The 26,006-nt window shown below is 63.9% G+C and overlaps 2 protein-coding genes across 54 annotated transcripts in view, besides 10 other annotated features; one reads left to right on the plus strand and one right to left on the minus strand.

Moving 5' to 3' along the window:
• The window catches only part of BAIAP2 (BAR/IMD domain containing adaptor protein 2), an 82,284-nt gene extending 62,721 nt beyond the window's left edge, over nt 1-19,563 (plus strand). For 13 of the 52 annotated variants that reach the window (NR_169576.1, NR_169578.1, NR_169575.1 and 10 more), the window contains 8 exons: nt 2,057-2,209; nt 5,631-5,852; nt 6,036-6,237; nt 6,643-6,844; nt 8,207-8,275; nt 8,874-9,036; nt 10,604-10,638; nt 11,097-12,642. Coding sequence is in view for 45 of the 52 variants with exons in the window: in NM_001385134.1 (NP_001372063.1) it covers nt 2,057-2,209; nt 5,631-5,852; nt 6,036-6,237; nt 6,643-6,844; nt 8,207-8,275; nt 8,874-9,036; nt 10,604-10,638; nt 11,097-11,127 (1,077 nt within the window). In the remaining 7 variants the exon portion in view is untranslated. Of the gene's footprint in view, nt 1-2,056; nt 2,210-5,630; nt 5,853-6,035; nt 6,238-6,639; nt 6,845-8,206; nt 8,276-8,873; nt 9,037-10,603; nt 10,639-11,096; nt 12,643-13,042; nt 13,089-17,898 lie in introns of those variants that run through there. The other 39 variants (XM_011524194.2, XM_017024017.2, XM_017024018.2 and 36 more) reach the window with 19 other exon arrangements.
• Nucleotides 3,830-4,347: an enhancer, noted in NCBI's record as "H3K27ac-H3K4me1 hESC enhancer chr17:79075501-79076018 (GRCh37/hg19 assembly coordinates)". NCBI's record gives its function as "activates a minimal SCP1, AML or CMV promoter by ChIP-STARR-seq in naive and primed H9 embryonic stem cells {active_cell/tissue: H9 hESC(naive and primed)}" and the evidence as "EXISTENCE:reporter gene assay evidence [ECO:0000049][PMID:30033119]".
• Nucleotides 4,348-4,864: an enhancer, noted in NCBI's record as "H3K27ac-H3K4me1 hESC enhancer chr17:79076019-79076535 (GRCh37/hg19 assembly coordinates)". NCBI's record gives its function as "activates a minimal SCP1, AML or CMV promoter by ChIP-STARR-seq in naive H9 embryonic stem cells {active_cell/tissue: H9 hESC(naive)}" and the evidence as "EXISTENCE:reporter gene assay evidence [ECO:0000049][PMID:30033119]".
• Nucleotides 13,924-14,425: an enhancer, noted in NCBI's record as "H3K4me1 hESC enhancer chr17:79085595-79086096 (GRCh37/hg19 assembly coordinates)". NCBI's record gives its function as "activates a minimal SCP1, AML or CMV promoter by ChIP-STARR-seq in naive H9 embryonic stem cells {active_cell/tissue: H9 hESC(naive)}" and the evidence as "EXISTENCE:reporter gene assay evidence [ECO:0000049][PMID:30033119]".
• Nucleotides 14,426-14,925: an enhancer, noted in NCBI's record as "H3K4me1 hESC enhancer chr17:79086097-79086596 (GRCh37/hg19 assembly coordinates)". NCBI's record gives its function as "activates a minimal SCP1, AML or CMV promoter by ChIP-STARR-seq in naive H9 embryonic stem cells {active_cell/tissue: H9 hESC(naive)}" and the evidence as "EXISTENCE:reporter gene assay evidence [ECO:0000049][PMID:30033119]".
• Nucleotides 14,940-15,681: an enhancer, noted in NCBI's record as "H3K4me1 hESC enhancer chr17:79086611-79087352 (GRCh37/hg19 assembly coordinates)". NCBI's record gives its function as "activates a minimal SCP1, AML or CMV promoter by ChIP-STARR-seq in naive H9 embryonic stem cells {active_cell/tissue: H9 hESC(naive)}" and the evidence as "EXISTENCE:reporter gene assay evidence [ECO:0000049][PMID:30033119]".
• The window catches only part of AATK (apoptosis associated tyrosine kinase), a 48,927-nt gene continuing 42,344 nt past the window's right edge, over nt 19,424-26,006 (minus strand). For both annotated transcript variants that reach the window (NM_001080395.3, NM_004920.3), the window contains 5 exons: nt 25,323-25,472; nt 22,330-24,952; nt 22,065-22,212; nt 21,509-21,709; nt 19,424-20,571 (listed from right to left, as the gene is read on the minus strand). In NM_001080395.3, the coding sequence (NP_001073864.2) occupies nt 20,531-20,571; nt 21,509-21,709; nt 22,065-22,212; nt 22,330-24,952; nt 25,323-25,472 (3,163 nt within the window). In that variant the 3' untranslated portion in view covers nt 19,424-20,530. The remainder of the gene's footprint in view (nt 20,572-21,508; nt 21,710-22,064; nt 22,213-22,329; nt 24,953-25,322; nt 25,473-26,006) is intronic.
• Nucleotides 20,580-21,123: an enhancer, noted in NCBI's record as "H3K27ac-H3K4me1 hESC enhancer chr17:79092251-79092794 (GRCh37/hg19 assembly coordinates)". NCBI's record gives its function as "activates a minimal SCP1, AML or CMV promoter by ChIP-STARR-seq in naive H9 embryonic stem cells {active_cell/tissue: H9 hESC(naive)}" and the evidence as "EXISTENCE:reporter gene assay evidence [ECO:0000049][PMID:30033119]".
• Nucleotides 21,124-21,667: an enhancer, noted in NCBI's record as "H3K27ac-H3K4me1 hESC enhancer chr17:79092795-79093338 (GRCh37/hg19 assembly coordinates)". NCBI's record gives its function as "activates a minimal SCP1, AML or CMV promoter by ChIP-STARR-seq in naive H9 embryonic stem cells {active_cell/tissue: H9 hESC(naive)}" and the evidence as "EXISTENCE:reporter gene assay evidence [ECO:0000049][PMID:30033119]".
• Nucleotides 21,655-21,804: a silencer, noted in NCBI's record as "silent region_9116". NCBI's record gives its function as "represses an Ori minimal core promoter by ATAC-STARR-seq in GM12878 lymphoblastoid cells {active_cell/tissue: GM12878}" and the evidence as "EXISTENCE:reporter gene assay evidence [ECO:0000049][PMID:35858748]".
• Nucleotides 21,655-22,072: a biological region, named in NCBI's record as "Sharpr-MPRA regulatory region 11647".
• Nucleotides 21,778-22,072: an enhancer, noted in NCBI's record as "tiled region #11647; HepG2 Activating DNase matched - State 18:Pol2, and K562 Activating DNase unmatched - State 1:Tss". NCBI's record gives its function as "activates a minimal TATA promoter and a strong SV40 promoter by Sharpr-MPRA in HepG2 and K562 cells {active_cell/tissue: HepG2 | K562}" and the evidence as "EXISTENCE:reporter gene assay evidence [ECO:0000049][PMID:27701403]".

A 26,006-nucleotide genomic window follows, 5' to 3' on the forward strand; every position in this document is an offset into this window, starting at 1 on the left:
GCCACCCACAGCCTCATCAGCGTTTTGGGATGGAAAGTTTCCAGCCTACAAAACCGGAGAGCCCTTGACATCCAGGGTCCCAGTCGAGCCCTCCCACTGTCGGGCTGGGGTTCTGGAATCGGGAACCCCGGGTGCCGGGTGTCAGCTGTGCCATAGGGCTGTGGTGTCACGCGCTACCCCAGACCTCAGGCACATGATCCCCAGGCCAGCTGGGGTCATGGAGGGGCCAGCGGGGGGTGGGGAGGCATGCTCCTCCCAGAGGGACAGAGGCAGAGAGCCCTGGGGTTTGGAACTGTCACTTCCACCTACAGCCCTGTTGGTCAGGTGAGTCATACAACAAGCCCTGCACCCATGGGCAGGCTGGGAGGCGCCTCTGCCCAGGATGGGAGCACAGTCCGGGGCCTGGGAGGCAGCGGCCGCCCTCAGCTTCTTCGCCACTCTCTCCCCCAAACTCCCCCTCTCCAGTTTCCTCCCGAGGCTCACGTTGGAGAGGCCTGGGCTCAGCTACAGTTTCTTGGTCTGGCTTTGCTTGCACTACTTCTTTTAAAGTTTTTTTTTTTTAAATTGTGATAAAATACACGTAACTAATACAGTTGACCACGGTAACCATCTTTAAGTGCACAGTTCAGCGGCATTAGCGCATTCATGGGGTTGTGCGATCACCACCACCATCCATCTCCAGAACTTTCCATCTTCCCAAACTAAAGCTCTTAGTACCCTCCGTCCTGGTGTGTTCAGAATCGGTAGCTGGATCTGGAAGCTCTGTCAGGTTGAGACTCAGTTTTCCTTTTGGGGAAATCATTTTGGCTGGAGCAGCTTCTGTCGTCTTTGCTGGAACCCTTTCTGGGCCGACTGTGTGTCCACCAAGAAGCACAGAGTGGCCAAGACGTGACAGCCGCCATGGTCAGAGCCAGGGCCACAGACGCAAGGGCTGCCGAGCGGCTGACCGCCGGGTCAGGGTGGGGACCGCCTGCTGGCTGCCCTGGTTCTAGGGTCTGGCTTGACTACCTGTCTTTCCTGTGCCCAAGAGCACCTGCCAGGGCTGAGGGTTTTCCAAAGCTTCCGCGTTTGTCTGGGACACATTCTCCCCGTCCCCCCATCCCCCCATCCCCCCATCCCCCCATCCCCCCATCCCACGGGGACACCCGGGTGGGCACTCAGGCAGCTCCAAGGTGGAAGGGCAGCAATCAGGCCTACTTCTCATTCCTGGTTCCGTGCTGGCCCCTCACCTGGGCACACCCTGTTCCGAAAGGCGTGACCTGTGGATCTGATCTTGCTGTCCCCGTGGACGCTGGTCTTGCTTTCTGGGCTCCCAGTCTCCGCTCGGTGACCTCTTGTCTGATCCTCCCCACGAACTTCCTTCTCACGTTCTCCCTTGGTGCACGCTTATCCGGAAACCAGGCAGCCAGGTGTCTTAGCGTCCCGCTCCCCGTCATTCAGAGCCGGAGCCGGGTGGGAGAGGAGATGAGGTGCGCCCGGAGTCCCCTCTGCAGCAGAGGGCTTCCCTGGGGTCCTTGGCCACTGTCCTGGGCTCCAGCTCTCCTGCCTTTCGTGCTGGGGCTGAGATGGCTGAGATGGCTGAGATGGAGGGGCCCTGGAGGCAGAGGCACAGGTGAGAGTGCTCCAGGCAACAGGGGGAAGGACCAAGAAGCTGTCCTGGGGCCCATGGAGCTGGGGCGCATCCACACCCAGGCTTCTGTGCCTTGGCCACAGGGAGGTGCACGCGACCCCACCCCACAGCAGGAGCCCTGAGATGAGGCTGGCCCCCTGCCAGAGCCTCCTGCTGGAGGCAGGACCCTCCACTCACCCAGAGTGGTCCCGGGGCAGGGAAGCCTTCTGGGGATGTGGCCATCGGGCATCTCCTGAGTGGTCCCGGGGTAGCTGAAGCCTCCTGGGGGCGTGGTTGTCTCCTGAGTGGCCGCAGATGCTGTTTTGTTTCCAGCTGCTCTGCATGAATGAGACGTGTCCTTTGACTGAGTCCGTGGGGCTGCCCCAAACCGGTCCTGACAGGCGTCCTTCCATCGCTGGCTGAGCCTTTCTCCCTTTCCCTCCACAGTACATCGACGCCATCAGCAACAAGCAGGGCGAGCTGGAGAATTACGTGTCCGACGGCTACAAGACCGCACTGACAGAGGAGCGCAGGCGCTTCTGCTTCCTGGTGGAGAAGCAGTGCGCCGTGGCCAAGAACTCCGCGGCCTACCACTCCAAGGTGAGGCGGCTGGGGGCTGCGCTGTGCCGGCGCTGGGCCTTGCTGGCAGAAATGACCCAGGCCCCTGCCCCAGCCCCAGCCCCGTGAACACACCGGGGCAGTGTCCAGGCTCGAACTCTCGTTTATTTCGGGTTTTCTTGGGGGTGAAGTTCTGGGAGAATTACCAGGTCACAGGGTGCAGGCATTTTGAAGACTCACATTAGAAATTGCCACCTGCAACCAGGGAGAGTCTGATGGGCTTTCAAGGCCTTCTAGAACATTCTTCTAGAATGTTCTTGGCTCTTCTGCCACAGCCATGTCCTGGGCAGGTGCAGGCTGACGCCAGGCAGGGGACGGTCATGCTCCGTGCTGGGTGCCGGAGTCCCGGTGGGACACCTGGTGGGTGGCCTCTGTGTCCTCACTTGCTCTTCCTGTGGCCCCTCTATCCACAGTCCTGGGGTACAGCCTCTGGGCTCATGGCTCTGCTCACCCGAGGCACTGAGGACCCCCAGCCCCAAGCCTGGGTCCCCAGCCACCCAAGACCACTGTGCCACTGGGCCCCTAGGCCACCCAAGACAACCATGACACTGGCCCCAGGTCCAGCAGCTGCCATAGCTCGGCTGTCGTACGTGGACCTGCCACCCCTCACCCAACCCAAACCTGCCCTATCTCTTTGCTTCCTGGGTAGCCAGGGGCCCTGCCTGGCTCTCAGGTGGCCTCCCCAGTCCCTCCCTCACTGCTCCAGAGTGGCCTCCCTGGGACTCAAACCTGGTCACAGGGTCCTCCCCTGGCTCCCAGGCTCTTGGTGACCTGTGCCTCTACCACCTCTGCCTGCACCCCTGAGCCACTGTGGTCCCAGGTGGGGCCTTGGGTGGTGGCCACATGCTGCTGCCCTCGTGACCTCTGAGAGACCCCTCTGCCCGTCATCTGTTGAGGGCCCCTCCTTGGGCCGGTAGACTCTTGGCCCTGTGTTTCCCGCTAGGCGTCCCCCGGCACAGTCCTGCGGCCCTGTGTCTCCCGCTAGGTGTCCCCCGGCACAGTCCTGCGGCCCTGTGTCTCCCGCTAGGCGTCCCCCAGCACAGTCCTGCAGCCCTGTGTTTCCGGCATCCCCAGCCTTGTCGTTCCTTGTGGGGGAATCCCGCCCTGGGATCCGCCATGTCCCAGGACCAAGCCTGGCCCTGCTGAACCAGGAGCGAGTTCCTCAGGGACGGGCTGCAGCAGCCCCCTCCATGGATATCCTGAGCCCCGATGTGAGCAAGGGGATCCCCTCCTAGGAGGCTGACTTAGCCCCCAGAGCAGGCAAGGCCCAGAGGCCAGACTCCCCACCGGGAACAGGCAGGGCCAGCAGGCCCCTGTTCACCCATAGTCCATGGGTAGGAGTTGGGATGGGATCACATGTGTCCCCTGGAACATTCTGGAACATTTCAAGAGTTTCGAAGATGTAGTTCCGGAGCCAAGCCCACCAGGGAGGCCCTGGTCATGTCTTTCTAAAATAAAGGGTTGCAGGGATCCACGGGCTATACCTTGACACTTGTTCCCCCCACCCACCACACTCTCATGTACGTGCGCGTGCGTGCACACACACACACACGCACGTGATACAGAACCAGTGCTCCAGTCCCCACAGCCTGGGGACAGCCAGGAGACAAGTGCTCTTCCCTCCCTGGAGAGGCCCCTCCTGCCGGCCTGGGCCTGCTGGGCACTGTGGGCAGGTGCAGGCAAGGACAGCAGCAGCACCTTTGACCCCTGGAGGCAGCCTCGCTGCTGAAGGACTCAGCGGTGACAGGCTGTGCTGCCACAGCTGCCAGGCAGGGAGCGCTGTGGAGCGCAGGCCTCCCGCCTGCTAGACCCAGGACAGTGGCGGGCGTCTGCGCCCTCTGGCGGGGGCCAGGCCCCATGACGGGGCCAGGGAGTGAGAGCGGGGCTGTCAGTGGCTGGGGTGCTGCCTGCAGGGATGGAGGGCGGGGAAGCCAGGCTGCTTGCCGCAGGTCTCCCAGGAGGGGTTGCGGGATGTGCCTGCGGTGGCAGCAGCTGACCTCCTGGGCTCGTGGGCCCCCGGGCGTGTGTGGAAGAGGCCTGTGTCCCACAGACCCACTTAGAGACGAGCCTCTGGGCTGGGGGCCAGGGTGTGAGGGCAGCCTCCCAGGGCAGTTCGTAGTAGCTCCCTGGTGCTTGGGTTTGGGCCTGCCTCGGGGCTCTCAGGGTGCGGGGGTGACGCTGGCTCGTGGCCGCTGTGTCAGGGCCGTGCCGCTGCGAGGTCGGTGTCCCTCGGCCGTCTGCCCTAGTGCTGGTCCCTGCTGGCCTCTCCGCGCCACCCAAGACTCACTCCTCTACCACTGATCTCAGCCAGGGCTCGGCAGACGTTCTGAAGGGCCACAAAGTTTGTGCTTTTGGCTCTGTGGGCCGTGCCGTCTCCAGCTCTGTTACTGCAATGTGAGGGCAGCCATGAATGAATGATTCACAAATCGATGCACAGCTGTGTTGCAATAAAACTTTATTTACAAAACAGGAAGCCAGCCCTCGGGCTGTGGTTTGCTGACCCCTGGTCTGAGCCAGCAGCAGAGGGGTAGGGGTGGCATGGGGAGGACTTGCTCAGAATGGCTGTCGTCCAACATCCTCCGTGGGTCCCCAGCGTGGGTGCCCAGCCACATGTAGAAGGGAACGGGGATGAGTTGGGGGGAGCAGTGAAAGCCGGAGAGGCCCCCAGAGGTGCCAGAGACATAGCAGTTCTGGCCCACAGCTTAAGGGTCTGGGGGTCCCGGGAATCCAGGCCCTGCAGCCTGCTTAGGCCAAATGGCCAGGAGGGGCAGGGGTTACTTGATTAGCTCCCAGGACCCAGGCCCGGCCGGCTCCCAGTCCCAGAACCTTTCTCCATGCCTGTGGCTTCCTCCTCCTTTGTCCCCACTGTGCTCAGCTGGTCTGTGTCCAGCAGGCCGCAGAGTACGCCCGAGGGAGCGCGGGCTCTTGGGCCCAAGGGCAGTGGTTGGAGCAGTGAGCCTCAGTGTGTCTGACGGGGCTGCCTTCCTGCCCTCGGCAGCCAGGCCTGACCCCCACTGGGCAGCACCACCCCCTCCCCCGGCCATCTGGGGCGCCTTCCTGGCACTTTGGGGTTTGCCCACCGGAGTTTGACCTTGTGCGTCCCTGTCCGTTCCTCCTTCCTCCAGGCCCTGATGGGCCCCGCGGGCGTTGAGCCTGGGTTTGCTCTCATCCCTGGAGGTCCCCCGACTGCATGGCTTGTGGTCCATCCCCGGCCCTTTACCGGCAGCCGCTTCTGTGGGTTGGGGTCAGAGGCTCACGGGTGGCCTGTCTCGCCGAGAGGTACCACCTGGTGAAGAGCAGCCTCCAGCCCCAGAGAGTGCTCAGGGAGGGCCCTCAGCGCTGTGCCTGGCTGCAGGAGACTGAGCCGGCCCTGACCCCTCCCTTCCTGCTGCTTCCACTTCAGGGCAAGGAGCTGCTGGCGCAGAAGCTGCCGCTGTGGCAACAGGCCTGTGCCGACCCCAGCAAGATCCCGGAGCGCGCGGTGCAGCTCATGCAGCAGGTGGCCAGCAACGGCGCCACCCTCCCCAGCGCCCTGTCGGCCTCCAAGTCCAACCTGGTCATTTCCGACCCCATTCCGGGGGCCAAGCCCCTGCCGGTGCCCCCCGAGCTGGCACCGTTCGTGGGGGTGAGTCTGTGGCCTCTGGAAAGCTTCACGGGTGTGGGTGGGAGGGCAGCTTGTTGTCAGGGCGGGGGGCCGCCAGGGTGCAGAGTCCAGGGGCCCCTGCTGAGGGGGCGGAGGGTTCTCTTTCCCCCTGGTCTTGCCCGGGGTGGGCTCCAGCAACAGCCTGCTCTGCCTGCTTCCCTGCAGCGGATGTCTGCCCAGGAGAGCACACCCATCATGAACGGCGTCACAGGCCCGGATGGCGAGGACTACAGCCCGTGGGCTGACCGCAAGGCTGCCCAGCCCAAATCCCTGTCTCCTCCGCAGTCTCAGAGCAAGCTCAGCGACTCCTACTCCAACACACTCCCCGTGCGCAAGAGCGTGACCCCAAAAAACAGCTATGCCACCAGTAAGGGCTCCGCTGGGGTGTTGGGCTGGGGTCCCTGGACGTGCCTCCTCAGACCCTACAGTCATGCCACAACCCTCAATAGGGGCCTGGGAGACCCTGAGGCTCACAATTATGTGACCGTGTGTACCTACATGCATGTGGTACACACACGTGTGCCTGCCCAGCATCCAGCTCCCTCTTGTCAAGCCTCTGGTGCTCAGTGGGGGCATGAGTGGGGTACAGGGTTAGGCTCATGCAGGCAGCAGCCACTTGGGAGCAGGTAGCTGCTGCTGCGGAGAGCTTAGCCAGCCCACTTACCCACCTGGGGCACAGGCGGCTGTGCTCTCAGCACCTCAACCAGACTCCCTGGGCTTTGCTGCCCCGCCAGCCAGGGGCAGTCCCCTTACCTGTCCCTTGTCCCAGCAGCCGAGAACAAGACTCTGCCTCGCTCGAGCTCCATGGCAGCCGGCCTGGAGCGCAATGGCCGTATGCGGGTGAAGGCCATCTTCTCCCACGCTGCTGGGGACAACAGCACCCTCCTGAGCTTCAAGGAGGGTGACCTCATTACCCTGCTGGTGCCTGAGGCCCGCGATGGCTGGCACTACGGAGAGAGTGAGAAGACCAAGATGTGAGTGTTTCTCGGGGGCGGGCTCCAGGCAGCCGCTGCCTTCAGCAAGTGTGTGGGGCAGCGACACTCAAGTGCACTGAGACCTTGTGTTTAGAGTGGCTGTGCAGGTTGCGGGTCCTCGCCGTAGAAGACCTGGGCAGTGAGAGCAAGCGTGACCTGGGGTCTTCGCCACCAACAGGCGTCTTCTCCCCTGGCAGGGGTCTTCGCCCCAACCACCTCCCTGCAGGGGTCTTCCCCTACAGGAGGGATCTCCCCCCAACAGCAGGGATCTCCCCCCAACGGCAGGGATCTCCCCCAATGGCAGGTATCTCCCCCAATGGCAGGGGTCTTTCCCCATGGCAGGGGTCTCCCCCCAATGGCTCGGGTCTCCCCCCAGCGGCAGGGGTCTCCCCCCAGTGGCAGGGGTCTGCCCCATGGCAGGGGTCTTTCCCCACGGCAGGGGTCTCCCCCCAATGGCAGGGGTCTCCCCCCAATGGCTCGGGTCTCCCCCACATGGCTGTTGTCTTCCCCCATGGCTGGGGTCTTTCACCACAGAGTCTAGTGACCACCTTGCTCCATCGCCTCCCTGTGCCACTCAGATTGCCGCAGGGTGTGGCATCCCACACGTGTACACACTCAGCACGTCCAGCCGAAGCCCTGTGGTGGGCATCAGTTTCCCACAGTTCGCAGGTGCAGAGCAGGGCTTGGCCATCCTGAGACCGCAGGCTTTCTGTGGCTTTCAGCTCTTCCACATGCCAGACGGGCTCTCCAGTTTGGAGTTCTAGAAGTCACCTATGGAGTCAGATGGGCCACACCTCCTCAGTTTACTGAATGCTGTTGCAGAGAGGCTGGGCCAGGGTGCCACCCTCGCTGGACCTGGGGGCTGCATTCCCAGGGCTGTGTTTGTGCGGGTGTGTCTCTTGGCAAGATGGGAAAAGGCCCTGACATTTGTGCCTTCCTAAGCTTGGCCTTGCAGCCATCACTCTGAGGAGGGGGCCGAGGGCAGGGGGTCTCCCAGGAGGCTGCTCCATCTTTCTTCCAGTGGCCACTCCAATCTTGGTGCCATCCGTGGCTTAGCGTGACACTGGGGCTGCGAGGCAGGAGCAACTGCTCTGCCCGGGCTCTGGGGCCTTGCAGTTGGGTCTGGTGGGGCCGGCAGCTCCCACCAGGTTGAGGACAGCCCGGGCCACCTTGCCCTTGAGGCTGAGCACACAGTGGGAGCGGGCTGCGGTCTTTGTCTCCCTGGAGCACTGTCTCTGTTGCTCCAGAGACAGCCGCGCAGCCATGCTGGGGAGCTAGAGGGACTTGTGCATGGATGGTGGTCGGTGGGGGATGGGGAGCCTCTGGGCTGAGCGTGGCTCTTACCTGGGGCCTCTCTTCCAGGCGGGGCTGGTTTCCCTTCTCCTACACCCGGGTCTTGGACAGCGATGGCAGTGACAGGCTGCACATGAGGTGAGCTCTGGGCCCAACGGGAGTGTAAGATCCCCAGCTCGGGAGAGGGGCTGTGATGACACCAGGTCCCTGGGCTTGGATTGCTCGGCTGGGCTTCCGGCTCCTTGTCTGCTACCGCAGGGCCATCCCCAGTGGCCCTGAGAGCTGGACGCTTGAGGCCTTCAGGGTGGAGGCATGGTGGTGCCCTGTGCAGTGGGGCCCGAGAGCCCTGGGGACACCAGAGCAGGCAGCAGGTGCTATGGGGGCAGCTCCTGGGGGCCAGGTGTGCAAGGACCTGGCTGTCCCAGGTCCTCCAGGTTCTCCCAGCCTTCAGAGAATCGCAGCTGAAAGCGGGGTACATGGCTACTGGGAGGGTCAGGGGTTGCTGTGGCAGCCCAGCCCCTCTGGAGTCCTCCCGGCTTAGCTTCATGGCCAGGAGGAGGAAGGGAGGCCAGACTGGCCCGGCCCATGGTCCCCAGGGCTGCCGCCTTGGCCTGAGAGCAGCCTCCCCGCATGTGGCGTGGGCTAGGTGAGGGCGGGCAGTCCAGGGAGCCACAGGGTTGTGGGGTGTTGGGGGCATCCGGCCTGCTGGGCCGCCTCTGAGTCCCTGTCCCTACAGCCTGCAGCAAGGGAAGAGCAGCAGCACGGGCAACCTCCTGGACAAGGACGACCTGGCCATCCCACCCCCCGATTACGGCGCCGCCTCCCGGGCCTTCCCCGCCCAGACGGCCAGCGGCTTCAAGCAGAGGCCCTACAGTGTGGCCGTGCCCGCCTTCTCCCAGGTCAGTGGGCGGGGCCGGGGCTGGGAGGGGCCCGCAGGTGGAACAGTGGGCTCAGCCTGCAGTCCCCCGTTGGAGCCTCCGCTGAGGGGCGGGGCGCCTGGGGGTCTGGGTCTTTGGACAGCCCTGGGGTGAAGGCTGCATGATTTGGGAATGTGTACACACCCCTGCTTCGGCCTCAGGCTGCCCGCCTCGCCGCAGCAGGCTCCCTGTGTCGGCATGCTGGGGCTGGGGTCAGCCTGTCCCTCATGGTGCCCTCAGCCAGCCACGGGCAACTCACTGCTCTGTCCAAGGGGGCAGCGTCTGGGCTGGGAAGTGGCTGGCCTAGAGGTGGGCCTGGACGCCGCCGCCTTTTGGGAGAGCCAGGGGGGCAGGATCTCTTCCGTGAGAACCACGGGGCTCCCTCAGTCACATCCATGAGATGGGAGTGCTTGCTGCTCAGCCCTGGCATGTGGCTGGACCCCTTCCAGTCAGTGTGACCCTGGATTTGGGCCATCTGGTGCCGGGAGGCCAGAGGTGGAGGATCAGGGCCTGGGTCCTAGGCCCTGGTGTGGGTTCTCGGAAACCCGGGATCATGGCGGTCCTGGTATCTAGGCTGGGGCAGGGTGTGAGCGTGCATCTCAACTTGCCGGGTTCCAGCCCGCTCCGTCCAGGGAGGCTCCTGGGGTTGGAGAGTTGGAGACCCCTGTCTGTCTGGGGCTCCTCAGCCAGAGGTCCAGTTTGTGGGATATTGGCTGGGCTAGCAGCTTTGTTCCCGGGGCCGGTCTCCAGGGCTGGGCCTCAGGCAGTGAGTAGAGAGAAGAAGAGAACCCACCTTTTTCCGAGATAACAGGTAGCCTGGGTGACTACTCAGCTATTGACCCACAAGTGAGGAGTCCCTAGATTGACAGCCTGAGCTGAGGCCGCAGGAGGCAACCTGGAGAGGTTTGGGCTCTGGGCCGTGGGTGTTCCACAGGTCAGCCTCTGGGGTGGGCTCAGTGCTGGGAGAGCCAAGGAGGGGTCTGCATCTGCCCTAGGCCGCGGGCCAGGCCATGCTGGCAGATGAAGGGCACAGCCAGCCCCAGCGCCACACCTGGGCGCTCCTCCCAGGCAGTGTCACCCTCCCAGGGGCCGGGATGGTACATGTGACAAGTTTCCAGGAAACTGCAGCTGGGGTCTGGGTCTGGTCCTGGGTCCTACAAGCAGGCGGAGGAGTCCCAGGGGCCCGCCCAGGCATGGGTGAGGTGCTGCAGGTGCCCTGCGGGGGCCTCGGCTCCCTGGGGGCAGGAGGAGGGGTCTCAGGCGGCCAGTCTTGCATCTGTTTGGGAGTGTGCAACAAGCACACAAATTGAGGTGGCCGCTGGCTGGAGGAGGTATCCCCTTTAATTTGGGCAGTCATTACTTTACCACTGGGACCAGGGCTCCAGGCAGGTCTCTGAGTGCTGCAGCCAGGAGATGGGGAGCCTTCCAAAGGAACACGGTTTGAACCTTGTCCAGGCAGGATCACCATTTGTGGGTGTGTACAGGCAGCGGGTGGGGGTGACCACAGGCCCCGTCACCCGGCCTGACATGTTTCTGCCTCTGCCCCCAGGGCCTGGATGACTATGGAGCGCGGTCCATGAGCAGGTAAGGGGACTTTCAGACCTGTCTTTGGGACCGTGGGTGGGTGTGAAGAGGCCGGGTGGGGCAGGTCCCTCTGCTAGGACCTGGGGCCACCTCTTTTCCTTTAGGGCCCAGCCTGGCCCTTCACCCCTGTCAGAGCCGGGGATGTCCCTTAGGGCGTCCTGCTTTCTCCGAGTGACACGGGAACCCCCCTGGGCCCTGCCCCTCTTTCATCGCATCTGGCCGGCCCCATCCATCCCTGTCAGGCAAGGTTGGGGAGGGTAGCTGAGGCTGGCATCCATGGCTGGGGCTGCAGCCTCCTCTGCCCCAATCTGTGCTCCGCCCTTGTCCTGGGTCTTCCTGGAGGGTCAGGAGGCCAACGGGAGCTGCTGAAAGGGGCATTGCTCGGTGCTGGCGGACTCGCCGCCTGTGGCTGGGCAGCGTCGTGCAGCCAGGCAGCCGTCCTGTGCTTTGTTTCACAGTGGCAGCGGCACGCTGGTGTCCACAGTGTGAGGACGCTGACCCCGGGCAGCCGCTGCTCTGAAGAGCTTCCGCGCCTTCCCCCTGGTCTCGTCCGTTTTCCTCCTCAGCTCTCGCTGGTTTGTTCTTGGGTTGTTTTTCTTTTCCACCTGCCCCATGCCTTTTGGTTGGTGACCCCAGACTCTGTGATCCCCCAGGGTCCATGGTGCTGCTCCATCCGCCCCCCCTCCCCTGTGTTTACGCGCCCCATCCTGTGTGTCCCAGCCTTTTGAGCAGAAACTGCCAGGCAGGACCTGCTGGGCCGTGCGGGGCACCCTCGGCCTCACCCTGCAGTGTCTGTGGCACTCACTGCTTTTCTAAGGCTCGCCGTGAGCCAGGTCTAAAGTTTGAAGAAAAAGAAAAATCTTAAAAAAAAAAAAAAAAAAAAAAAGAAAAAAAGAAAAACAGGAAAAAGGACTTTTTTTTTCCTGAAAAACAAAAACCGATCTGCATGGACTCCGGTGTGCGCTGTTATCTCGCATCCGACTTCCCCGGTGCGATGGCCTCTGTCCGGACAGGGAAGGTGCTGGGGTCCCTGGCCGCCCCGGCCCCTGTGGAGGGGTGCACAGAGAAAGGGGGCTCGTGCCAAGCTCGAGGGGCCTCCTGAGGAAGCCGGCCGCTCCTGTGAGGGAGGCCGGGCCCGGGCACCTGAGGGCTTCTCCCTCTGGACACTGCGGGCCAGGTGTACATAGAGCAGCGCGGCACAGTGGCCTCACCTCCCGTCGGGCACTGGCGGGAGCAAGGTCGGGGGCAGGCGCTGCCCAGCTGGCCGCACACGGACATTCCAAAGACCTCCAGAGACCACCCCACCCCCACATTCCTTTGACCAGCCTTGTGAGGGCATCGATGCTGCCCCGGGCTACCTGGCTGCTCTGGGCAGGGTGTGCGGGCCGGGCCCGGCTGGGGGAGGGCAGCTCTGGGCACGCCGCACCCACGCCCCCCACCTGGGGGAAACAGGCGGTTCCTGCCCGGTTCTTCCTAAACGCTCTCGTCTTTTTGTGTGTCTTGGTGACTTTAGAAACAAACACAGTGGACTCAGTGGCTACTGGTATTGTCTCTTCCCACACTGAACTCTGGGGAATTGAGTGCAGGGCACAGCCCGGCTCAGCCTGCCCGCTGGTGGGAGCCCCTGGGAAGCTGCGGCGCTCCTTTATCTGATGTGGTTTAGTAAAAGCCTCCCACACACCTCCCCGTGGCCTGGGACGTGGCTGGTAGTGTTTGTGTGGGAAGCAGCTCAAGACGCGGACCGCGTGACATTAAGGAGAGCTCAAGGGCGGACCGGGCCCTGTGTAGAGACCCTTCCGCGCCGGCGTTCCCGCTCCGCTAAAGATTTCAAATCCAGGGGATTCCATGCTCAATGGATGAATGTAGACACAAAACAGCAACACTTGTATGAAGATGTAAAGTGCTGAACATATTTTTTTCCTGTTTCCTTTCCTTTTTTTTAAAAAATCTGAATTGTGCCCTGTACTGCAGTTACTTGTTTGAATAAAAGTTTTATTTATTGCACGAGTTGGGTATGGACCTCCTTCCGGTTCCCGGCGTGCGTCTTTGCCGTGGGGGCCCCGCCTTGTGCCCACCTCTGCCAGGTATTTTCTCGGCACTCAGTCGCCTGCTAGATAACCTGGGCTTGCACACGGTGCTGGCCCCAGTGACAGTCGCTCACTCTGCCCGGGCTCTGCGGGGGGCCGTCTGCAGCTGAGGCAGGCTCCTGGCTCCCTCCAGGCCCGCAAGTGAGGCAGGCTCCGCAGGCGCCGTCCAGGGAGAGCCAGAGCCCCAGCTGTGTGCCGACTCCGAGTGCTCCAGGGTTCTAGGTCTCCTGGCAGCTCGCCCGTGGTCCCCCCTCCTCTGCACCCCCGAGTCCTCAGACCCCATGCTGCCTCCAACTGAGCCTTGTGTTTCCTTGCAGCGCCGATGTGGAAGTGGCCAGATTCTGAGCCGCCTGACTAGAGTTAGTAAGTTGCCTGGCGTTCTCGTGCAGTCACTGGCCTCTCCAGTGGTTCTCCACGGGCCCTCTGGCCTCAGTCACGCAGCCTGGGTGGGGAGGGCCCGGCTGCATGGCGGGGCCAGGGGTCCACTGAGCCTGCCTCTCACTCTGGGTGCTGGGCCTTCTCTACTGGGTCCCCTCCTTGGGTTCATGGTATCTTTCTCCCCTCCCGGAAGCTTGTGGGCTCTGGCTGGCTGTGCCCGGGGCTCCTCTCACTGCTGGGTGTGGCTCTGGCCCTGACCTTCTGTGTGGTCCTCTCCTGCCCTGCTGGGCGCTTCAATTATAGTCAAAGGGTGACCCCGGCAAGCAGCTGCAGCCCGGGCCTTTCCCGCCTGACTCGCAGCGCCAGCTTGGGCTCCTTCGGGTGTGTGTGCCTTTGGGGCTGACAGCCTTGTGGGGACTGGAGGTCAGGGTCCTGGGGAGAACCCTGGGGAGCTCCATAGGCACTGGAGCCAGGTGTTGGGCCCACTGGGGACCGGGCTGTGCTGTTAGTCTGACCTTGCCTCTTCTGTCCCCCAAGCCCCACAACGTGGACCCAAGACACTGGCTCCATCCCTAGTGTGGATCTGCAGACCTGGAGGGCTGCTGGGTCCAGGTTTGAGCTGACGCTCACTCCGGGGACCACAGGGCCATTATGGGTCCAATTCCAGTGGGACTCTGGAGTCCGGGTCTGAGTCCATTTCCTCACGGGTTGAGTGGGCCACTCCCCTGGTGCCTGGTGTATATTTGGGATGTGCCAGGGTGTCCAGGAGCAGGCCCTCTGCCCTCATAGGGGGCCCTTGCCCACACCTTCCAATCGCCTACACCTGTGTCTGGGCGGGTCCTGCTTCCCACCACCCTTCCATCCCCAAGTTGCTAGGAGGGCGGCTCTGCAAAGCCAGTGCCTGCATCCTTCACAAAGGACGTTGGTCCCTGTGTCTCCCTGGTGGTCACAGCAGGCATCCTGGCCCACGGGCAGCCAGGCCACAGGCAGATCATGGATCTGTCTTCTTTCACTGCCTTTCTGTTGTTGATTTTCGGCAACAAATTCTGGAAGATTAGGTAGAAAAATGCTCCTGAACTTTGGGGACTGGATGGAGATGCTCTGGGTTGGCCCTGGCCACCACCTTGCCTTCCGCCTCCATCTTCCTCCCTTCCGAGACGCTGTTTCTGGGAGGCCTCCAGACCCCCCCACTCCCCCAGGTCCCTCTGAGCTGAGGGGGCTGAACTGCCCTTACCTGGTGAGGCTTGGAAGGGGTGAAGGCTCAAAGATGAGGCTGGCACAGCCTCTGTCAGGGACCACGTCCCTTGGAGGGCAGAGACCCTGGGTAGCAGTGCCGGTGGGGCAGTGGTGCTCAGCCCCAGCACCACTCCACAGTGCCAGGGGCCAGTTTCCCGGCCACGCAGTCTGCCTGGTCTGACAACTCAGCTGGGATTGGGGGTGTCGAAAGCCACTTGCAGTTGGCCAAGAGACTCCCCAATCCCATTGCCACCCTGTCATGCCCCAGCTTTGGGCCCTGGGAAGGGGGCCTTGGAATGAGAGTGGAGGGGCGAGCGTCCCTGGCCGCTGTCCATACTCGTCAGCGGAGGCCCAAGCGCCCACGCTGGACCCGATTCCAGAAGGGCCCACCTTCTGAAGACACGAAGAAACAGCTGACGCGAGAAGACAGAAAACAGGTGCTGTCCGCCCGGCTCTGGGTCTGGAGTCACCCAACTGGTCGAAATGCATTTGTGACGGCTCCGTTTCTTCTCGGAATCCTTCTGCTTCACATTCAAGTCATTGGTGAAGCTGCCGCTTGGCCGAGCGCCGTGGCCCACACCTGTAATCCCAGCACTTAGGGAGGCTGAGGCGAGAGGATCTCTTGAGCCCAGGGGTTCGAGATCAGCCTGGGCAACCTAGGGAGACCCCCATCTTGACAAAAAAAAAAGTTAAAAATTAGCCAGGCATGGTGGCACGCGTCTGTAGTCCCAGCTTCTCAGGAGGCTGAGGTGGGAGGATTGCTTGAGCCCAGAGGTGGAGGTTGCAGTGAGCTACAATTGCACCACTGCATTCCAGCCCGGAAGACAGAGCAAGACCCTGTCTCAAAATAATAATACAATTTAAAAATTAGAAAAGCCACCGGTCTCCCCTGCGGCCTTGCTTAGGGGCCTCTGAGGGGAGGCTCTCTGTGAGGAGACAGAGCCCAGGCCTCTGCATTCTGAGGCCAGCGCCCTGCCCGCCCAACAGCTCCCCCACACATGACGCAGGCCCTCCTCAGGGTCCTCCGCTCTTGGACACGTCTGGTGACTTTCCTTTGCTGGCTGGAGAGGTGCTGGTGGTGTCATTGGGTAGTTCGTGGCAATCGCTGCCCAGGGCCATGTCCTGCAGGAGGTGGGGCCTGGCACGTGTCCTCCGGCAGGGACCAATGTCTGTGGCTAACGTGTGGTGACCTTGCAGTGGCCTTGGGCTGCAGACTTTGTCATATTCTATTGGCTCAGTTAGGCCCCCACTCAGCACAGCGAGCTCCCCGCCGGCCTCCTGGGCGCGTCTTTCCCAGACAGCTGGGGGGTGGGGGCCAGGGTGGGGAAATAGGGACGCCCAGCCCCTCCTTGTGGGCCTGCTGTCCCAGCCAGCCTTGGGCTCTGGCCTGCGCTCTCCCCATCCCCGCCGACCCCCCTGCCCCCGTCAGGCTGAGATTGGACACAGCATTTGCAGCCCCAGCCCCAGGGTCCTCAGAGCCACCCAGTGTGGATGGTTCAGCACGCTCCACCTGGTCCCACTGTTCTGGGAGACAAGAAGAGAAAAATGCAGGTTAGAGAACAGGCCTGCACCAGTGGAGGGCTTCCTACCCCTGCAGCTCCCCGTGGGGTCCAGGCAAGCGATGTGCCTTTGCCACTGACTTTCTGATGAGAATCGGCTGTGATTCGGGGCAGGAGTGAGAACCACGCGGCTGCACTGCCCTCGGCTGTGGTCTGGGCCAGATCTAGGACCCTTCTCTGGGAACCCACTTTTTTTTTTTTTTTTTTTTTTTTGAGACAGGGTCTTACTCTGTCACCCAGGCTGGAGTGCAGTGGTGGGAACACAGCTCACTACTGCCTCGCCCTCCTGGGTTCAAGCGATCCTCCCACTTCAGCCCCCCATGGAGCTGGGACCACAGGCATGCACCACTCTCCCGCACCTGCCTAATTTTTTTTTTTTTTTTTTTGTAGAGACGGGTACGCTTTGCTGCCCAGGCTGGTCTTGAACTCCAGGGCTCAAGTGGTTCCTCCTGCTTTGGCCTCTCAGAGTGCTGGGATTCTAGGCAGGAGCCACTATGCCCAGCCAGCCCCATTTCTAATCTCCCCAGAGCTCCCTCCGGACCCTGGGCCTGCGGAGGAACTCGGGCCACAGAGCACTTCCTTAGGAGTGGGTCTAGCCTGGCAGGCAGACAGGGCATGGGCAGACATCAGTGATGGAGGTGGAATCCTCACCAGCGGGCCCCTAGGCAGCCCCTACCCAGGCCCCAGGAAGGGCAAAGCTGCACCGATCAAAGCTGAAAAAAGCCGGGGATCCAGCAGACCCTGAGGCTCCAGCACGTTGAGAGTAGATCAAAAGATCCTTTCAGCAGGGTGCCAATGCTTAGACGCCATCTGGGAGTCTGGGAGCCTTCCGCAGACCTGTCAGTCTCTTCCACGTACTTTATTCTCTTAAAAACTCAGTCTGTAGTGTTTCAAGTTCTTAGAAAACACAAAGTCCTCAGGAAAGCTTAGGGAGCTGCCTCTGCCCTGTGCCTCTTCCTGGGCAGCTGGACGGAACCCTGCCTGCCCACCCCAGGGTTTGCTTCCGGCTGCCTGTGCCTCTTCCCGGGTAGCTGGACGGAGTCTGCCTGCCCGTCCCCAGGGTTGTTCCCGGCTGCCCGGGCTCTTGTGGACCCAGCTGTGCCAGAGGTGATTCTGCTCCAGGTAATGGCTCCAGAGTCCAAGCACAGCTTTGCCAGAGCACAGTCCCGTCCCTGCTGCGTCTTCATGTCCACGTGCCATCTGTGCTGTCACCCTTGGAGCTGCCTGACATCCCCCATCCTGTCCTGTGCTGTCCCCTCCGGGGGTGGGGACTCCAAAGAGAAAGGCTCAGGCATCCCTCTCATCCGTGCTCATCTTGTTCCATTTCAACTTCTTGTCTTGAGTCGTATTTGTGCATCAGCTGTGGCCCCGGGGATATGGGGGAGGGCGCGGCACCCCTCGGGGGACAGGTGGCTGAGCCCACAGCAGGTGAACCACTGTCTGGCCCAGGGGATGGCCAGCTGCTCTGCAGGGCCCATGGGTGTCCATCTGCAGCCCTGCGGGAGCCGTGAGCCTAACCTGCCTTCTCTGGATGCCCCCATGCCAGGGCTGGGCTGGACGCTCTGCCACGCTGTGTCCCTGGGTGTGGGCCTGGCCTGGTGGGGGAGCCACCAAACTGGTGTGTGCCCGGTTCAGGCCTGTCTTGAATCCCCAGCCTCAGTGGTGATGTCCGCCCCTCACTGGGAGGTTGTGGCTGGCCTGCCCCGCCCCACCCCGCCCTGCCCTGCCCAGCCCACACTGCTGGGAGGGTGATGGATCGGGGTGGGGGCACCCTGCCTTGTCTAGGGCACATAGTGGACTTGGGGGTCAGGCAGCCTTGCAGACAGCGCCTGGTCCTCCCTGCCCCGCAAAGCAGCGTATATTGTCTGTGAGCTCTGTGCCCTGAGATCGGACCGTAGGCATCCAGCACTGGGGAATCCCTGGGGCATCGGGCAGCCCAGGTGGCACAATTCACCCATGGCTTCCGCCCTAAAAATTAAAACCACGTTTTTCTCTTTCAGGAATCCCTTTGCCCACGTCCAGCTGAAGCCGACAGTGACCAACGACAGGTCTGCCCCCCTCCTCAGCTGATGGCCACATCTGCAGTGCTGCCCATCTGGTGGCTTCCCCCGCCCTTCCCATGTAGCCTGTTCTGTCATCATCTGTGCGTTCCTGTGTAGAGAACATCCAGGCCCCGGCTGCCTGGTCTTGCCCCACTTGAGTCTGGCCTGGACTGGATCCCAGCTGTTCTAGGCAGGGCCGGGCAGAGTGGGGCGCAGGCCCCTGAAGGGCGAGACCCAGTGGCTGGGCTGCCCAGGGCTGAGGGGCCGCCTCTTGAGGGTACACGCCTCTGGTCACATGGCCATGGAGCCTTGGGTACCCCTGAGTTAAGGGAGGACATTTGGCCAGCTGGTGGCTGGGAGGGGAGCCTGGCTGCCCTGCTGCTTCTCCTGCCTAATAAACAGGCTTCTCCTGCACCAGGTGTGATCTGTCCGCCCAAGGGCCAGAAGGCCGGGAGCACGGGGATGGGAGCGCCCGCACCCTGGCTGGAAGATGAACTTCCCGTAAGCACGTAATTCCCTGCAGGTCCGGCAGCTACACCTGGAGTGTGGGGCCTGGTCCCTCCCCATGCCCCTCGGTGGGGCTCTCCTGGGCCCCTCACTCCCACTGGCAATGTCACAAGGGCCTCCCCAGGCCCCTCCTGCCTCGGGCAGGCCCCAGCCCTCCTCCTTACCCAACCTCCCATCCAGAACCTTGCTGCCAGGGCCTCCCAGCTCGCTCCTGCGGCCAAAGGCCAGCTGTCAGGTGCTATGCGGGGTCACCAGCAGAGTGCCCGCTGGCAGGTGGGGGCTTCCCCGCTTCCGGGGTCTGCCCCAGGACTCCTGGGTGGACCTCCCCCCCCCACCTCCGCTGACTCCTGCAGGCACTGGGGAGCTCTGCTGGAATTGGGGGTTTTAAAACTTCATTAGCAGATTTGTGCTCTTCCATACTGTTTGTTTGTTTGTTAGGTGAAATACAGTGTGGTGAGCTGCACTGGTGACAACAGCCCTTACCTGGCTGGGGAGGTGTCTCCAGCAGAGCTCACTCCCGCCTACAGCCACTCACACCCCGGGGACAGGAAGCTGTAGAGTTGGCGGGCCAGGAGGGCAGTTGAGAGCTGGCCAGCGGAGGGTGCAGGGAAGCCCAGCTGTGCTCAACTCTCCTGCCTCCGCCTTCCACCCTGGGCCCAGGGACAGACAGACATTGCCCTCAGAAGGGCAGGGAGGAGGCTGTCCTGGAGAGGCCTGTAGGTCCATTCTTCACCCGTCCCTACCAGGCCAACTCGGCCTGCAGGAAGGGAGACCTGCAGGGCGCTACCCCTGCGCCCCCACACACAGTAGGGCCAGAACACCATCCCCTCCACCGGGGTGTGCCGAGGACAGTGGGGAGGAGAGGAGAGGGGCAGCTTCCTCCTGGCCCCAGGAAGGGCTGGCATCGGGTTCCTGGCACAGCCCCTCCTGTCCAGGACTTTATCATCGGCAGACCTCAGAAGACAACACACAAAGGTTTCTTTTGTCTTAGCTTCATTTCTCTTAAAAAACAAGGAACAAGAAAACATTGCACCAGCGTTCTAAGCCTCAAACAAAACACAAAACAAATCCCCCTGCGAAGCAACAATAAACTTTACATCTCTTTGGCAACAATAACTTAAAATCACCCAACTTCCATTCGCTCCAACCACAGCAGTTAGTTAGTTACAAAAATATTCCCTGTGCTGCCCTGCCCCCAGCTCCACCCCTTCCCCACCATCCCTCTCCCTGTAGGTAGGAGCCCCCCAACACTGACTGCGGGGCATGGCCCCCACTCTCCTTTGGCAGCTGGGGCACAGGACCAGATACTGCCCCACAGAGGGGAGCTGCCTGCACGGTCCTGCCAAGGGCACCTCTAGAACGGGGCCCACGGGGCAGGAGTACAGCCTGGAAGCCCCTCCACCCCTGATCTTTTGGGCTGCCCACCGTGGCCACAGCGGGACCCAGGTGGGAGCAGCCTGTTCCCTGTGGGAAGGGTGGGCTTACGGGTCTAGCTGAGTCAGTGAAGGGGAAACAGCCACGGACTTTGAGATAAGGGCAGCGGAAACAGGACCGACACGGGCGCCCAGGGCCACTCCTTGCCCTGAGCCACCAGGAACCAGGCAAGGGTGGGGGCACAGGGGGTGGGAAGAGGCTCACAAACCTGCCAGTGTCTCGGGGCCATGCCTCGTCCTGGTTTAAGTGTCCTGTGAGCACACCGGAGGAGCTGCCGGATGGGGCATGCGGGTCCTCCGAGGCCAGGCAGGCAGGGCAGAGGGTGGGGGCCGCCGTGCCCAGGGGCACTGGCCCCTTTTGAGTGTGTATGTGTGTACAGACACCCACTGTGGCTCCAGGCGCCCCCAGGGGCTAGCAGCAAGCCTAAAAGCCCAGACGAATTCTGCCTCTGGGGCGGAGCATGGCCGATCTACCATCCAGGGCCTCTCATCCCACGGGCTTCTCCAGGACACCGCGTGGGGCAGAGGCACCTGAATCTGCTGCCAACAGCCACCAGGACGTGGTCCCCACCTTCTCGGTCACCATCCTCGCTGCTGCCTGGCAGGGGCTCCGGTGACGCCAGCCTTGAGGGGCAGGAGCTGCCCAGGTCTCAAGCCTCTTTACTCTCACCCCCGGCACCAGCTTCAGGTCCTGGCAAGCAGGACAACAAAGTGAACACAGGGTTCTGAGACACCAGGGCTGCCTCCCCCGCAACTCCCACCTGGCCTCCATCCCTGGCCCACATACAGGCCGGGCCCCTTCCCTGCAGCAGATCTGGCTGTGTCTAGGTGAGAGATGGACCCATTTCCCCCACTCCTGTCACTGGACTCAGGCCAACAACTCTCAGCAAATGCCTCCGAGTCCTGTTTTACGCATAAGGAAACTGAGGCCTGAACAGGAAGGGGATGGCCAAGGTCATGCAGTGGCCTCCTGGTGACCTGCCTGCTTGTTCAGCCACACAGGGGGCACCCTGCACCAGGGGTGAGGCTGACAGGCCCTTCCCCCAGGGCTGCAGCCACAGGCCAGGACAGCTAGGGAAGAGGAAGCTGGCAGGGGGCCTTCTCCGAGGAGGTGGGCACTTGTCAGGCACGTGGGCAGAGGCTGTAGGGGTAGGGACACCTGGCAGAGATGAGCCCAGCCTGGGGTGGGGCGGATAGTGGAGGGCCATGGCCGGGAGCGGTGGCTCAGGCCCCCAGCAGGGCTCCACCTGGGCACCGTGGGGCCGGGGCACCGTGGGACCTGGGTCTGCAGGGACTTCTGGCTGGGAAGGTTCCGGTGAGAGGGCCTGCCGCAGGTCTGCGGGGTAGGGTCAGGCAGAGGAGAGCCGAGTGCAGGGGCCAGGTGAGGGCCAGGTGAGGGTCAGGTGAGGGTCAGGTGAGGGTCAGGTGAGGGTCAGGTGAGGGCCAGGCGAGGGCCAGGCGGGGTCCAGGCTAGGTCTGGGGCCGGGAAGGAGCGGGGCCGGGAAGGAGCGGAGCGGAGCGGAGCCGGGGCTGGCCCGGCCCAGGACCTAGACGGAGGGGCCCCACCCTCGGAGCTCCGTGCCCTGCCTCCCGCGTGCCCTTCTGCCACAGCCCCGCCCAGGCCTCACCTCTCTTGGACTCGGCGTCCGAGTCAGACACGTGCGTGATGGAGAAGCGGGACGTGGGCGCGGGCGACACCGTGAAGCGCGAGAAGGGAGCGGGCGTGGGCGTGGGCGCAGCCGGGGCGGGTGCGGCCGGGTCTAGGGCCATGGCGAAGGCTGCCTTGGCCGTCATCAGCGGGAAGTCGTCGTCCCACGCGAACCCACCACCTGCAGCCCAGGTCGCGGCGTCACTCGCGCTCACAGCCTGGGACCCCGGCCCGGCCCCGCTCCCACAGTCACGGGCCCAGGCCCCGCCTCCCATCATGTCACGGGCCCAGGCCCCGCCTCCCATGATGTCACGGGCCCAGGCCCCGCCTCCCATGCAGCACGGACAAGGCCCCGCCTTCCGTGACGTCACGTACCAGACCCGCCTCCCATGACGACACGGGCCAAAGCCCGCCTCCCACGCGTCAAGGACCAGGTGCTCCTCCCATGATGTCACACATTAGGCCCCGCCTCCCACACAGCACGGACCAGGCCCTGCCTCCCGTGACGTCACGGGCCCAGCCCCGCCCCTGCTCACCCTCTTCCGCTGTGGAGCCATTTGGGGAGCCATCAGCCTGCTGCGGCCGGTTGGGGGCGCTGGGAGAGCCGGGGCTCCCCCTAAGGAACGTAGGGGGCGATTCCTTGGCGCCCGGGAAGGGCTCCCCGAGCTCCCGGGTGGGGCTTTCCTGGAGGAATCAGAGAGCACCAGGTAGCTCGGCCGCCAGGAGCCGCGGCCGCTCCCACCCCTTCCTGCGGGAGCGCGACCCCCAGCCCCGGGCAGACCCCGGGTGGCGGCGGCCCACCTGGTCAAAGAGGTAGACGGTGACGTCGTCGAAGAAGGACACGGCCTTCTTCTTGCGTTCCAGGTCCTCGCAGAAGGTCTCGGACAGCAGGCTGGGCATCTTGAGCAGGCTGCGCAGGTTGCGCGCGCTCTGGCTCTCAGCCACCACCACGGGCACCGCCGGCGCCTCCTCTTCGCTGTCCTCGCTAGGCTCCTGGACGCTGTAGCAGCGGAGCTCCTCGTCAGACTCGTCGCTGTCCTCACTGTCCTCCTCCTCCTCCTCCGGCCGGCCCTCCAAGGCCGCAGGGAGGCCGGGCAGAGCCAGGCGGAGTGGGGCTCTGGGGGTGCCTGGGCCCCCCATCCGCTTTTGTGGGGCCGGCCCTGACAACAGTCCTGGGGGCCCCTGGAACTCAGAGCTGTTGCCTTCTGATCTCAGCGGAACCGGGGTCAGCAGGAAAAACTGGGAGCAGCTGGGGCTGGGCCCAGGCCGCACCTTGGCTGGGCCTTGGGGCTCCGGAGGCTCTGGGACCAGGCCCGAGGGGCAGGTGCTGGGCTCTGGGGAGGACCCTTCAAGCTGCAGCAGTGGGGGCAGCACCTCCCCGGGGCCAGAGCCTTGTGCCTCCCCGGAAACCCCAGGCCTGAGACAGACCTGCTCAGACGGCTGCCCAGTGCTCGGCAGGCCCAGCTCTGGCCCGGGGGCTCGGTCCCCGCCGCACTTCTTCTCTGGGCCTGAGGTGGCCTCGGCCTCAGCCTCGAGGTCTGAGAAGTAGGCAGAGTCTCGGTAGGGATTCTTCTCGTTGAGGCCACTGAGGGAGGTGGAGAGCCGTGTCTCGGGCCCGGGGCCCTCACCCTCTGAGGCCAGCTCCGCAAAGGCCTGGGGCTCACACCCTTCCTGCGCCTCCTTGAGCACAAACTCAGGGGACTCATAGTTCTCGGTGTCATAGCCACTGTCCAGCGCTCGCGGCTGCCCTCCAGAGGGGCCAGTGGCCGACGGGCTGAAGACCTCATAGCCACCATCACTGGCTGAGGACGGGATGTCCAGGGAGTCCAGGGAGTCGGGGGTCCCCACCTGCTTCTGCAGAGAGCGGAAGGCTGGCACCACATCCGGCCTCCTGGCCTGCAGGCCGTCGCTGGACGTGTCGGTGAAGATGCCTGAGGTGGCCTCGGCCGTGTCCTCATCCTCACTGCTGGGTGCCTCCACCTCGGGAGAGCTGCTGCTGCCATTCAGGGCAGAAGCCAGCTTGATGGCAGACACCTCGCCACCAGTAGCAGGCGTGGGAGAGTCAGGCAGGGCATCAGGGGCGTCGGGGGCACTGGCCTCCTCCGAGGGAAGTGGGGCTCCCTCCTGGGATGGGGAGGGGACGGAAGGAAGGGGCAGGCGGGGTCCGGTAGTGCCCTCAGCCTCCGTGGCAAGCTTGGGCTCTGCCTGCGGGTGGTCACCCCCACTACTGGCTGTCTCTGTCCAGGAGGGTGTAACCAGGCAGGGAGCAGGTGCCAGGCCCTGGGCAGAGCATAGATGAGGGAGGCCGGGGCAGCAGCCTGGCTCCTGGGCAGAGGCTGCCTGGAGCCCAAGCAGAGGCTCTCCAGGGTACCCCGGCTCGGGGGAGGCCCGTGGGGTCTGCTTTGGACTGGGGCAGCCCTCAGCGTGGCCGCCCGCAGAGACGGGGTCCCAGGACTCTGGACAGCGGCTGCCGCTGTTGTTGTTGGCTGACACGTTGGAGCGCCAGTGCCCGCGCTGGGCGGCCCTCCGCGCTCCCACCTCCTCTAGCTCATCCTCGCCAGTCAGCGGCAGCGGGGGCGCCCCTGAGCTCCCCAAAGGGGACGTGCCCAGTGGGTCCTCGAAGAAGGCAGGACAGAAGGCGGCCACGCCCCAGTCTGCATCCTCCGCTCCTCCCTCCGCCAGACTCAGGGGCCCCGCCGAGGGCGAGGGAGAGCGTGAGGGGCAGAGCGGGTCCCGCGCCAAGCTTCTGCGAGGGTAGTGGTCGCCGCGGCCCCAGGGGACGTCGACGGGTGGCCCGTGGCCCAGCAGCGGCTCCATGGCCAGCGAGGCGGCGGTGCTGCCGTCAGAGTCGTCGTCCTGGTCCGCGGTGGCAGGTGGACTGGGGGCGCAGCCGGCGCAGTCAGGGTCGTGGCCGGCGGCGGGTGCGGCCTCCTCTAGGCGGATGAAGTACTCGCTGCCCAGCGACGGGCTGTGCGCGCTGAGCACCGGAACCACGCCCGGGGGCGCGCCGTCGGGGGCGCACAGCTCCTGCAGGCGTGCGGTGCGGCCAGGGCTCAGCGTGGCCGGGAAGGCCTCCGCGCCGCGGCCCGCCTCCCACTTGTACTCAAAATTGAGGCCTCGGCTGGTCTCGGTCACCGTCAGCACGTCGTCGCCGTCCGCGTGGAAGCCGTCGCCCGCGAACTGCTCCAGCAGCGGGAAGGACGAGGCAGCGGCGAGCTCCACCACGCCGCCCAGCATGGGCCCCGCCGCACCGGGCCCGGGCCCCACGCCGCCCCCGCCGGGCCGCAGAGAGCGCCAGCGCCGTTCAAACTCCTCCTCTGCTTCGGTGGCGCCCTTGGCACACAGGTAGGACAGCAGCAGGTGCACCTCCTCGGCTGTGGGCCGCTGCTCGGGCTGCAGCCAGCAGAACTGCATCACCTCGTACCTGCGAGGAGGTCCCCCGGGGGCCACGTCAGAGGCAACGCTGGCCAGGAACGCGTCCCTGGAGCAGGGATGGGGGTTCCCCTAACTCCCAGTGTCTTGGGGGCATTAAGGGTATCTCCCACTTAATTGACACCCCAAATCTGCCAAGGCAAGCCCAGCAGCGTGGGAGCAGGAGGTGGGCTGGGCACTATCCTTAAGCCTTCCCTCCCTGTACACAGGGGTGCAGAGGTGGCGGGTGGAGGCCCTACCAGAGGGGAGGGGAGACCAGGCAGGGCTGGAACGCCAGGGGGTCAGGGTGAGCCGCCTCTGCCTGGGGATCAGGATACCCCATCTCGGCCTGGCTGTCCGGGACAGGGCAGTGGGGCCCTCACCAGCGGTCCGACAGGGTCAGCTGCAGCTGGGGCTTGGGCAGCTTGAGCTGCTGCTCCCGGACCGTGTACGCCAGCACCTGCTGGTCCGAGTGCTGGGGATAGGGCTGCGTGCCCAGCTCAAAGAGCTCCCAGATGGTCACGCCCAGGGACCTGTGGGGCGACAGCCGTGAGCCAGGGCTGGGCACAGCCTGCCACAGCAAGGACCGCGCAGGATCCCCGGGGCGCCGAATGGGGCAGCTCCCGCCATCACGCCAGTGCCTCAGGACCGGGGCCTGGTACCATACCAGCCGCCCCTCCCTGAGGACAGCGCGTCCTTTCAGCAGGCAATGTGCACCCTGCCAGGCCCAAGCCCAGCACCTGTGGAGCCTGCACATAAAGGCCGGGCTGGCCGAATCCATCTGCTTGTCCACTCATTCATTCATTCACTGATGCACTGAAGACCAGACACTGCCCGGTGTGGGAGCTGCCCTGGGGGAGCTGGAGGGCGGGCGTGGAGCCCAAAGCGGAGTAGGGCCCGCACCAGCAGGGGGCTGAGGGAGGGGGAGGGAGGGGGAAGGAAGGGGAGAGAGGGGACGCCTCAGGCCAGCATGGGCAGGGCTGGGTAACAGGCAGGGGTGCACAGAGCGTGCAGGCGGGTAGGGTAACTGGGGTCTCCTTCCCCGTGGGCTGTGGCTTCACCCAGCC

This window comes from Homo sapiens, chromosome 17 (assembly GCF_000001405.40).
Source record: "Homo sapiens chromosome 17, GRCh38.p14 Primary Assembly".
NCBI lineage: Eukaryota > Metazoa > Chordata > Mammalia > Primates > Hominidae > Homo > Homo sapiens.